This window comes from Homo sapiens, chromosome 7 (genome assembly GCF_000001405.40).
Source record: "Homo sapiens chromosome 7, GRCh38.p14 Primary Assembly".
NCBI classification, from domain to species: domain Eukaryota; kingdom Metazoa; phylum Chordata; class Mammalia; order Primates; family Hominidae; genus Homo; species Homo sapiens.
Window position 1 is genome coordinate 129,842,166 of NC_000007.14, and position 12,198 is coordinate 129,854,363.

At 42.3% G+C, this 12,198-nt stretch overlaps 1 protein-coding gene across 4 annotated transcripts in view, besides 2 other annotated features; it reads right to left on the bottom strand.

The window, feature by feature from the left end:
• The window catches only part of UBE2H (ubiquitin conjugating enzyme E2 H), a 122,229-nt gene that overhangs the window by 11,434 nt on the left and 98,597 nt on the right, over positions 1 to 12,198 (bottom strand). The window lies entirely within an intron of this gene.
• Positions 495 to 1,321: an enhancer, noted in NCBI's record as "OCT4-NANOG-H3K27ac-H3K4me1 hESC enhancer chr7:129482500-129483326 (GRCh37/hg19 assembly coordinates)". NCBI's record gives its function as "activates a minimal SCP1, AML or CMV promoter by ChIP-STARR-seq in naive H9 embryonic stem cells {active_cell/tissue: H9 hESC(naive)}" and the evidence as "EXISTENCE:reporter gene assay evidence [ECO:0000049][PMID:30033119]".
• Positions 1,322 to 2,148: an enhancer, noted in NCBI's record as "OCT4-NANOG-H3K27ac-H3K4me1 hESC enhancer chr7:129483327-129484153 (GRCh37/hg19 assembly coordinates)". NCBI's record gives its function as "activates a minimal SCP1, AML or CMV promoter by ChIP-STARR-seq in naive H9 embryonic stem cells {active_cell/tissue: H9 hESC(naive)}" and the evidence as "EXISTENCE:reporter gene assay evidence [ECO:0000049][PMID:30033119]".

The following is a 12,198-nucleotide window of genomic DNA, read 5'->3' on the forward strand; positions in this document are numbered from 1 at the left end:
CACACCTGTAATCCCAGCACTTTGGTAGGCCAAGGTGGGTGGATCACATAAGGCCAGGAGTTCGAGACCAGCCTGGCCAACATGGCAAAACCCTGTCCCTACTAAAAAATACAAAAAATTAGCTGGGTGTGATGGCGCGTGCCTGTAGTCCCAGCTACTTGGGAGGCTGAGGCAGAATTGCTTGAACCTGGGGAGGTGGAGGTTGCAGTGAGCCAAGATTGCACCACAGTACTCCAGCCTGGGCAAGTGAGTGGAACCCTGTCTCAAATAAATAAATAAAATAAAAATAACATTTTCCTGTAAATATGTCCTTTCTATTTTGGCATATGTTTGAAATATCCAATAAAACATGAAAAGTCTGAAAATGTTTTTATTTTCTTATCTTTATCCTTGGGTGGGTGAGTTATTAAGGCAGTGGTAGAAAATGCCAAAAGGTAAGCAAATTCAGTTTTACAGGCCAGACGCAGTGGCTTACAACTGTAATCCCAACACTTTGGGAGGCTGAGATGGGCAGATCACCTGAGGTCAGGAGTTTGAGACCAGCTTGGCCAACACGGTGAAATCCCGTTTCTACTAAAAATACAAAAATTAGCTGGGTGTGGTGGCAGGTGCCTGTAATCCCAGCTACTTGGGAGGCTGAGGCAGGAGAATTGCTTGAACCCAGGAGGTGGAGTTTGCAGTGAGCCCAGACTGCGCCATTGCACCGCAGCCTGTGCAACAAGAGCAAAACTCTATCTCAAAAAAACAAAAATAAAAACAAAAAACAGTAGTTTTACAATTGAATGTGATCCCATAGCAGGGAAAAGTTAAACAATAGTTACATTAACAGTAATTTTTTTTTTTTTTTTTTTTTGAGACAGAGTCTTGCTGTCAACCAGGCTGGGGTGCAGTAGTGTGATCTCCACTCACTGCAAGCTCCGCCTCCTGGGTTCACGCCATTCTCCTGCCTCAGTCTCCCCAGCAGCTAGGACTACAGGCACACGCCGCCACATCCAGCTAATTTTTTTGTATTTTTAGCAGAGAAGGGGTTTCACCGTGTTAGCCAGGATGGTCTCGATCTCCTGACCTCGTGATCTGCCCGCCTCGGCCTCCCAAAGTGCTGGAATTACAGGAGTGAGCCACTGCGCCCGGCCCATTAACAGTAATATTAACAGTAATGGCAGGTTAATGCTTACATAGTGCTTACTACAAGCAAGGAACTCTTCCATGGTCTGCATATACACTCTTAATTTCACTACAGTCAATGAGGTAGGCACCATTTTACAGATGGAGAAATTGAGGCACACAGAGCTTAAGTATGGATCAGGAACTCAAACCTGAGCTCATCCACTATGCTGCCTCTGTTAATGGATAAAACACACACTGCCGCTGCCGCAAATTTCACGAAGGCACAAGCTCCCCATGTCTCTGGGTCAAAATCGCATACCATCGCTGGCAGGGAAGCTAAATCCATGGATCAGAGATGATCACCCTCCTCCCCAAAGAATCCCTCACAAGTGCAAAGAAGCATGCTAAGCAAAGGACGTTCAGATGTTTCTGTGGCTATTCACAGAGACGGTGTGCTTGTTTTCATGCAGCTCCACCGCAGGAGGTAACCCGCAGACACCTGCACACAGCGAACGGAAGGCTCCTCCTGCCATATTATTATTACAGGTGCTGCTCAAAAGGATTAGCAGCTGGATGCTATTACATAACAACGAAAACCTTTAAAAACAAAGCATAGGTTTTATGTTCTGAAGTAATGTTCAGAAGTGCTTCAGGGCTAGAGAAATATCACAGACAACGTGTTATAAAACTAGGAGTTTAGCGTGTCCCAGAAAGAGATTTTATACCCTTTCCTACTACTTTTAAGTTTCCTCAAGCTACCAATAAAAGGCTTTGCCTATGAATTTGTTCCAAACAAATAAAAGAACCCTTAATTATTGGTTCTTCCTTCCTGTATCTACCGTCTTCCTGCATTAACACATTTTTGATCCATTTTACAGAAGTGCTGAGTCACACCTGTAAAACAGAAGAGCAGAAAAGGAAACACATGAGGCCCAGTTTTGGGTGAAGATGACAACTTCGGGAGGCCAGGATGTGATGGCTCTGCCATCTTAAAGCAATAAGGCCTTCCTGCAAGTGGCTAACACAGTGATTACTCCTAAGGGTGCTTCTGAAAGGAGCATCTCTCAAATGTGCAGATGTGCAGAAAGTCTTCTTTCAAGATAAATACACTGGCAGAGAAGACTAAAACTATAAATCAAGAATAAAATAAAGATACTCATCTGTAGAAAAATAAAGAACACTTTTTCCCTAGATTTTTGTTAATGATAAAACGATAAAAATGTGTCGATAATAATAACGATAAAAATGTGTCAGTTCAAAGATCTTTATCTAAAAACATTAACCTTCAATTTTTTTAAAGGAAGAGAGCCAGATACAGTTGACCTAAACCTGTAGAGTACAGTCAGCCGACCCCATTTCCGCCTGTCTTAACTTTTAAAGGAAGTCCCAAGATTCCTGAGTATATGGTTTATGATGAGCAAACAGCTCTTACTTTTGCCTTAGACTCAATTAGAACCAAAATGTGGTTCATTAGCACTGACTCTTCAGTCTGATCTTACATTAATGTTAAAATTATAACACTCATATCTCAGTTTAGGCATATAATTTATATTCATATTTACTATTTAAAAACAGGCTGGGCACAGTGGCTCATGCCTGTAATCCTAGCACTTTGGGAGGCCGAGGCAGGTGGACTGCCTGAGGTCAGGAGTTTCACACCAGCCTGGCCAACGTGGCAAAACCCTGTCTCTACTAAAAATACAAAAAATTAGCCAGGCGTGGTGGTGGGCACCTGTAATCCCAGCTACTTGGGAGGCTGAGGCAGGAGAATTGCTTGAACCTGGGAGGCAGAGGTTGTAGTGAGCTGAGATTGTACCACTGCACTCCAGCCTGGGCAATGGAGTGAGACTCCCAAATCATAAACAACTTATCATCAAAAGTAGCATCACTTAGTCTAGAGCAGTGGTTCTGGGCTAAGTCTAGGTCCTGCTTGTCCATCACAATTACCTGTGGAGTTTTTCCAAAAACTTGCTTAGCATCCTAAGGTTGCAGCTTCATACCTACCCCAGGGCTTCTGGTTTAGGACTGGATGGGATCTGTATGTGTGTGATACAGACATCTGTGTGCAAAATGCACAGGAAATACTACCTGGCCCATGATCCCCTATCCCCAAAGAATAGACGGGAAGGAAAGGGCCATTTGCTCGTAGGTTCTTTTTTGCAAGAAAATGTTCACCTCTAACAGCTCGACTCTGGTTTAGTGACATTCCCTGACCCTTCCCACTTTCTTTTCTGCACACTGCTGTTACCACTGTTATCTCTAGGCAGAGGTGTGCCAAACCACAGGCAGTCAAAAGCAGATCTGTTCTGGAGGGGAACTAAAGGGCCACTTTGGAGGAGAATGGGTATTAGAGGATGGTTAGAATCATCACCTAACACAATGTGGACATCTGGCAGAGAAAATTCCATTAGGCTGAACTGTCTCCAGCAAACAGAAAGCTGGCTCCTCAGTGGTGAACAACAGATGAAAAATCTAAAAGACCACAAGTCTAATCTCAGGCTTTCCACTGCCTTGCTCTTTGACCTTGGGCAGGTCTCTTCCTTTCTACATCTCAATTTCTTCACTGCAAAAGGAGAAGTATAACATTGCTATTCCTTACAGGGAAGTAACACACATTACTAAAAGTGACTATAAGATATACTTCAAATTGCACCAGAGAACTAAACTATTAATACAAATATGACATCCTCAAAGGGTAGACATTTCAGCTACCTGTATCCCTTAAAGAATATGTATTAATTAAAAAGAGTTACACTGAAAAAAATGTACCAATTCTTAAAGTAAAATTGCCCTATTCCAGGTGACTCACAATGAAATGGTGCAGGGCTTGAAGGAGAAAACACAAGAGGGGATGAATCACACATCTCATGTTTTATTCTTGGCTATTTATGAACCAGTGACCACAAGTTATTTCTTTTTCCTCTATTTCCTTTGAAATAAATGGAAAATTTCAAGCTGGGCAAGGTGGTTCATGTCTGTAATCCTAGCACTTTGGGAGGCCAAGGCAGGAAGACGGCCTGAGCCCAGGAGTTCAATAACAGCCTGGGCAACATAGGGAGATCCGGTCTCTACAAAATAATAATAATAATAATAATAATAATAATAATAATAATAATTGGGCATGGTGGCATGTGCCTGTGGTTCCAACTACTCAGGAGAGTAGGTGCTCAGTAGTTGCCGAGGTGAGAGGATTGCTCAAGTCAGGGGCAGGTGGATGGGTCGAGGCTGCAGTATGTTGTGATGCCACTGCATACCAGCCTGGGTGACAAAGCAAGACCCTCTCTCTACCACCCCCCACTCAAAAAAAAAATGTAATATACACTGCTTTCTGCAGGTTAAAATCCTGTGGATACCCAAACCTTGACATGCTCTGCCTCACTGGGAACCACAATTAGCACACAGGCAGTCATTTTGGAGACTTTTACCTAAATATTCTTCATTTGTTTTTCGGACTTAATACTGAAAAATACATGCTGTAACTCAGAAACCACCACCAAGTGGTGCCAAGTGCCAAGAACCATCAAAGCCATTCTTCCGTTCTCAATCCCACTTACCCCATCCCCTTTCTCCTTCTACTACCTGTCCCCCAGAAGCCCAACATCCTGTTAAAAACAAATAACAAAAAACTTATCGGGAAAGACATCAGCATCCTGCACAGCGGCTCAAATTCTGTGGCATTTGCATTTTAAGAATTAGCTTTGTACACTGTTACCCCGGGAAGCCGTCATCCTATAATTATTATTATTATTATTATTATTATTTTTTGAGACGGAGTCTCGCTCTATCTCCCCAGGCTGGAGTCTCGCTCTATCTCCCCAGGCTGGAGTGTAGTGGCACAATCTCAGCTCACTGGAACCTCTGCCTTTTGGGTTCAAGCAATTCTCCTGCTTCAAGCTCTAGAGTAGCTGGATTACAGGTGCACGCCCAGCTAATTTTTTGTATTTTTAGTAGAGACAGCGTTTTGCCATGTTGGCCAGGCTGGTCTCGAACTCCTGATCTCAGGGTGATCCATCCACCTCAGACTCCCAAAGTGCTGGGATTACAGGCATGAGCCACCGCGCCTGGCCATCCTACAATTTTAAAGGAATAAGTCTACTGGGTGTGGTGGCTTGTACCTGTAATCCCAGTTACTCAGGAGGCTAAGGAGGGAGGATCACTAGAGCCCAGGAGTTTGAAGTTACAGTGAGCTATGATCACAACTACTACACTCCAGCCTGGATGACACAGTGAGACCCAGTCTCTCTTTTTTTTTTTCCAGAGACAAGTTCTATGTTGCCCAAGCTAGTCCCAAACTCCAAGGCTCAAGTGATCCTCTTCGCCTTGGCCTCCCAGTGCTGGGATTACAGGCGTGAGCTACCATGCCCAGCTGAGGCCCAGTCTCTTTAAATAAAAAAGAAAGAAAGAAAAATAAGAAGTCTATGTTGGTAACTACCAAATCCATATAACTGGTCCTTCATATGTCTAGTCTTGTAGTCTTATCAAACTTTACATGTCTAAGATTATTTTCCTGAAAACCCATTCCCTTCACCTAATGAAGGGAGTAGGTTGACTCTAACGCCCTGGCTCTCAGGCTCCAAGCCTCTGGAAGGAATCTGGCTAGGTGTTCTTCCTTTCTTCCATGTACTCACTCAGTTTCCCAGAAATGTCTCTAGTTTTTCTTTTATTTCCCCTGGCATGTAACTATGTCAAAACCAATATATCATTCCAGCCCTGGATCAGGGCAGCCATCTACTAAATGGCCTTAAAGGCTCTATACTCTCGCCTTTGTAATCAGAGAAAGTTTCCTTAAAACAATCACTTAGGTCATTTCCCACAAACAATAAGTTCCTCTTGCCCTCAATCAAAATTCTGCAACCTGGAGAACTGCTTGAACTCGGGAGGTGGAGGCTGCGGTAAGCCAAGATCACGCTGCTGCACTCCAGCCTGGACGACAGAGCAAGACTCTGTCTCAAACAAAAACAAAAAACAAAAAACACATCACTATGTACCCCATGAATATGTACAATGATTATTTGCCAATCAAAATTCTGCATCCTCCAGAAGCATGCTATCCAAACTTCTTTCATCATCCCTCTCCCTCTGGAGGAGGACTCCTGGCTTTCCAAGCCGAAAATCACAGGGATAGTCACTACTGTCTAAGGTATTTATCTGTTCTGTAATTCAATAAGGAACAGGGCTGACAGGAAAGGAAAGAAAAATCCTGTTCACACCTAGAGGAAAACATGGACAAAAATCACAAGTCAATTGTTGTCTAGAACTGATGATTCCCTCTGTGACTTACATAGATCTCTTTCCCCTGAACTTTTGGTCATTATAGTTGAAACTCCTGGGAATTTCACCCAAGTTATTCACATCCTTGACTACTAGAGAAAAGCAGCTGTTGACCTTTCAAAATTCCATTGGTTGACTTTAGGAACTGTATTGAATTCGTCATGAACTGCCACGCAAGTCATGAATTTTACAATATGTGCCCAAAATAAAGCCAACCATGAAATCTCATTCATTCCACAATTATTTTTGGTGGTGGTGGTGGGTATCTACTATATGCACAAAAACCAGGTAGCTTTTTTTTTTTTTTTTGGTAAGGCCTGAAATAGGGCAAATAAATTAAGATCTCCAGATTTCTTTAGGTACTTAATAATTTGGAGTTAACAGATTTTCCTCAAGGGTGTATTAGACACTATAATTAATAGATCTTTACCTTCTACTCCTTTACCAGCTCCTACAAAGCAGCAATATTAATAATGGTTGAATTTTTAATTTTATCCTGCTTGCAGTCTGTAAACATTAAAAGACAGTGAAATTCTACAAGAAAAGAAGAGTAGTCAAAAACCTATAAAGAGTCCTACACTGCACACAACTAAGCAGTTGTTATTTTTGAAAAAAACTTGCAAACAGAGGGCCCTAAAAGATGACAGACAGCCCCTCAAGGAAAACTTCAGTAAAACCAATCGGATAGGCAGGCAGAATTCAAAGAAACAGTTTTGAGATTAAAAGTAATATTCTCTAAAATAACTAATTTGAGCCGGGCGCAGTGGCTCACGCCTGTAATCCCAGCACTTTGGGAGGCTGAGGCGGGCAGATCACTTGAAGTCAGGGGTTCAAGACCAACCTGGCCAACATGGTGAAATCCTGTCTCTACTAAATATACAAAAATTAGTCGGGTTTGGTGGTGGGCGCCGGTAATCCCAGCTACTTGGGAGGCTGAGGCAGGAGAATCGCTTGAACCCAGGAGGCAGAGGTTGCAGTGAGCCAAGATTGCACCACTGCACTCCAGCCTGAGTGACAGAGCAAGACTCCATCTCAAATAAAATAAAATAAAATAATAAAACAATTAATTTGAACTCAACTTCAGTGACAAAAAGCCCATTTCTCCACCTGTTTTGAGGGCACACAGGTGGAGAGCTGAAGCAACCCACCAGACTTCCTGCAGTGCTGTGGCTCAGGCCCAACTGGCCACAGGGCTCACAATGCTGCACCTAGTTTACTGAAGGCTAACTAGCTGCAATTAAGATAATATAACCCGCCACCAAATACTAAAAGGTATATTAAAGAATTCATACAATTACTTGACTGAGAGGGTCTCATGTGTGGAGAAAATATATAAAAAGTCTAAGCTCAGCAGATTCACATATCTTCTCATATTAGCCCATGGGGATCTTTAAAAGATAAAGTCTTAATGAAGAGGGCCATGCAGGCAACAAAACAAAACAAAATAAAAAAACAGAAACAGGTGAAAACACCTCCGAAAAGAAGTGGGATGCTTAAAAAACACACCAAACTCTTCCCTCCTCCCACCTCTCAAAAAAGGTGGCTGGGTGCAGTGGCCCATGACTGTAATCCTAGCACTTTGGGAGGCCCAGGTGGGCAGATCACTTGAGCCCAGGGGTTCGAGACCAGCCTGGACAACATAGTGACACCCCCATCTCTAGTATAAATAAAAAATTAGCCTGATGTGGTGGTGCATGCCTGTAGTCTCTGCTATTTGAGAGGCTGAGACAGGAGGATCACTTGAGCCCAGAAGGTTGAGGCTGCAGTGAGCCACGCTGCACTCCAGCCTGGGTGACAGGGCAAGACCTTGTCTCAAAAAAAAAGAAAAAAATAACAATTAGTAGGAATTCAAACACTCAAAGAATGTTTGCAACATACATGATAAATACATTTAAATCTCAGTAGTAGCATTTTGGTTTTTAAGTATTCAAAGCTAGAAACAGGTGTTCCTGTGCTGTGTGGGAAAGGGCAATATGAAAGATGCAGGGCGCTGGCCTGGCGTGGTGGCACACGCCTGTAATCCCAGTACTTTGGGAGGCCGAGGCAGGTGGATCATGAGGTCAGGAGTTCAAGACCAGCATGGCCAAGATGGTGAAATGCTATCTCTACTAAAACCACAAAATTAGCCAGGTGCGGTGGCAGGCGCCTGTAATCCCAGCTACTTGGGAGGCTGAGGCAGGAGAACTGCTTGAACCCAGGTGGCAGAGGTTACAGTGAGCCGAGATTGCGCCACTGCACTCCAGCCTGGGCGACAGAGTAAGACTCTGTCTCAAAAAAGAAAGAGAGAGAGAGAGAAAGAGAGAGAGAGGGAAGGGGGATGGGGGGAGGGACAGAGAGAGAGAAAGGAGAGAGAGAGAAAGAAAGAAAGAAGAGAAAAGAGAAGAGAAAAGATAGATGGACAGATGGATGCAGGGTGCTGAAACTGGGAAAACCAGCCACATTCTGCTCAGGGCCAGGCTACCAGGCCACCAAACTGAGGTGTGTAGTTACAGGACATAGACTGTTTTTAAAGCATTCCAAACCCGCTTAAAAGGTAATTTCCCATTCATTGCCTAATTGTAGCCCCTTTCCCCCCAACATATTTAAACTTCAGAGAGTTGCAGAAGAAAATAAGTGCTACTGCATAGATCACAATGAAGAAAACAAGCTCTTGTTCATCAAAAACACTGCTCTTGTTGCATTGTCAATCTCAAAACAATTCTCGTCTATTTGGGTGTTTTTTAGAGGTAATTCATCCTCGTTCAAACCTTATAACCCTGCTTACCTTAAGAGCTTGTAAGCTAAAACATGGTAATAGGATTTGTTATTAACCTTCCAGAAATGAGGGCAGTTAATGTGTAATTAGCTAGCTGGATAGTCTTGCTGTCATACTAAAACTCGCTATTCAAGCTTGTAATTACTAGACAATAATTTAGTTGTTAATATCAGAAAAGAATAACAAGAGGTAACTTCCTGCAATTACAAGCCAAGTGTCCATACGCTGGGAAGACTTTATAACTCAGTAATCGTAAGTGAATGAAGATAAAACAAATCAAGGTTACATTTACATATAATCAAGAATGAAACAAGCCCTAAAATCAGAGCCCCTACGAAAGTAGAGCATAGCTGTGGCTGTCTTTCAGAGCCATACCCTGGCTGGCTCATGTCCCACGATCCAAAAAGCCTGGACCACCCCATGGTTTTAAAGCTGACCACCAGTGAGTGTGGTATTTTTAATGAATGTCCACTAAGTTGTTCAAAGCCAGCAAGACTCCATTTTTATGTATATAACTAGTTAGACTCCTGAGCCACATACACCTCATCTGAAGATTTCCAAGCAGACAGATAAAGAAGGTTGGTTACGGAGCTAGCTAAGCACTGTTGAAGCGCAAATCCACAACTGAGCACATTTCTTTATTATGTACAACAGGTGACATTATCCCAATAGTACTGGACAGAATTGCTCTACTTGGCCTCTATCTACAAATAATGACATCCAGCTGTTCCAAAGGCAGGATGACGTTTGTGATTCAACATGGACAGATCAATACTGAAGTTCTCAAGCTGTTCAAATAGTAGTTGGCCAATTAATCATCCATGAAGACACATACATGTATTTCTTATCTGTGTAGTTACACTAAAATGTTTAGGAAACAGCATGCACTAATCCAGCATAAAGCATTATTTTAAGATATACCTTCTGCCAAAATCTGAATTATTTGGGAAGATTCACAGACTATCTAACTGAAAAGGGGATGGGATAAGTGTTAAATTTGTATTTTAAATTTCTAAATGCCTGGTAAAATAAATTTTAGGTGCCTGTAGTCCCAGCTACTCGGGAGGCTGAGGCAGGAGAATGGCGTGAACCCGGGAGGCGGAGCTCGCAGTGAACTGAGATCGTGCCACTGCACTCCAGCCTGGGCGACAGAGCGAGACTCCGTCTCAAAAAAAAAAAAAAATTTGTATCTCTTGCCTAATCTCAAAGTCCTTGAAGTATTCCTTCTGTTGTAGTCAATTTTATTTGCCTGTTACTAACTCCCCAGATAACTCTAGGGGAAGACTTTTCCCAAATGTTGATTTTTCTCTCCAGCAAAATAAGAGTAGAAGTATCTAGTCCACTGGCTAGCAACCCTAAGAGTGAAAATGTAAACTGCCCAATTTCATAAGAAAATTGTCTTCCACCTCACTTCTCCACAACTTTTTTTTTTGTTTGTTTTTTTGAGATGGAGTTTTGCTCTTATTGCCCAGGCTGGAGTGCAATGGTGCAATCTGGGCTCACTGCAACCTCCGCCTCCCGGGTTCAAGCAATTCTCCTGCCTCAGCTGTCCGAGTAGCTGGAATTACAGGTATGCGCCACCACGCCTGGCTAATTTTGTATTTTTAATAAAGATGGGGTTTCTCCATGTTGGTTATGGCTGGTCTCGAACTCCCGACCTAAGGTGATCCGCCTGCCTTGTCCTCCCAAAGTGCTGGGATTACAGGCATGAGCCACCGTGCCCAGCCTACAACTTAATCCATCATATAAATAATTTACGAAGGCAGTCAAAGAATGAGTAAAATGAAAGCTGGAGAGAGAAACACATTTGCAGGGATCAAGCATGCCTGGTCCAGAAGGGTGGGATGAGAGAGAGATTAAAGCTGTATCGCAGTGAAGGCACCTGGGCCCCCAGGAGTGCAGGGTGATAAGCCAACTACAGATAAAATATATTTTGGAGAAAAAAAGGAAAACTGGAAAATAGAAGAGTGCTTAAAAAGCTACCTGTGGCTTAATGAACTCTCCTATCAGTCCTTAAAATTAATTTGTTTTGAAATGGAAATCCAGATCCCCTTGGCTACATTTTATGTTTCTCAGAGCTTCTGTCACTGCTGTCTGGAAGAGCAGGAAGGGATGCAAAAAAAAAGATGCTATCATGCAGGAAGCCAAAATCACTTTGGTCATCTGCTACTTTCTGTTTAATGTCATAACAATAACAATAGATAACTTCATACTTGATAACTTCATACTGATGGCAAGCATCTTACAAAATTAATCCGATTCCTCACTATAATTAGCTCTCTTGTAAGGTTAAATAATACAAAATTAAAAATTACTGGGTGAGTAAACCACAATTATACCAATTTTGAACTCTGAATAAACAAATTGCACATACACTTGGCAAAGAGAAAACAGGATAAGAACAGAAGCAATGAGTCAACTGGCTTACCAGAAATCAATGGCGGGGAAGGGTGTGAGGGGACAGAGGACTAAATTTACTGCTAACATGAATGTTGTTTAATATCAGGCTATGATTAACATACATCTGAAATTTCAACTGTGAATTGTTGTTACGCTACAAATATGTATACCCACAGAACAGTACATGTCCTGGGGCAAGGTAAATGGCAGGAAATTTCACAATCCACTCCCTGCTCCCTCATCGAATCTACAGCAGAGGAAAGTGTTGAAACAAGTTTTAGGTGCCAGGCTTAGCCTTTTGCTTTTCAGTTGAATATTTATGTTGACACGCCAACTTTCTCCTATTAGTTATTTAGTGTTAGTTTTTTTTTTTTTTTTTTTTTTGGCGGGGCAGGGGTTGGCGGGGGCAGTCCTTTGAACTAAGATTCTCTCAGGAACCACTGCAGGAAATGAAGTGATTCAGAACTCACCAATTATGAACTAACCTTCAATGCCAGAGGCTTTAACAGTTTCTAATAAAAATTCAGTTCAGATCTCAAGTTCAGATAAGTCTGAAAAAACACTTCAAGGTCATCTGAACGAACATATTCTACCAGTACTTTATATAATTGTATTTACCTGTTCCTAAAACTTTCCGTGAAAGAAATGTTGAATTTTCTTCAGAA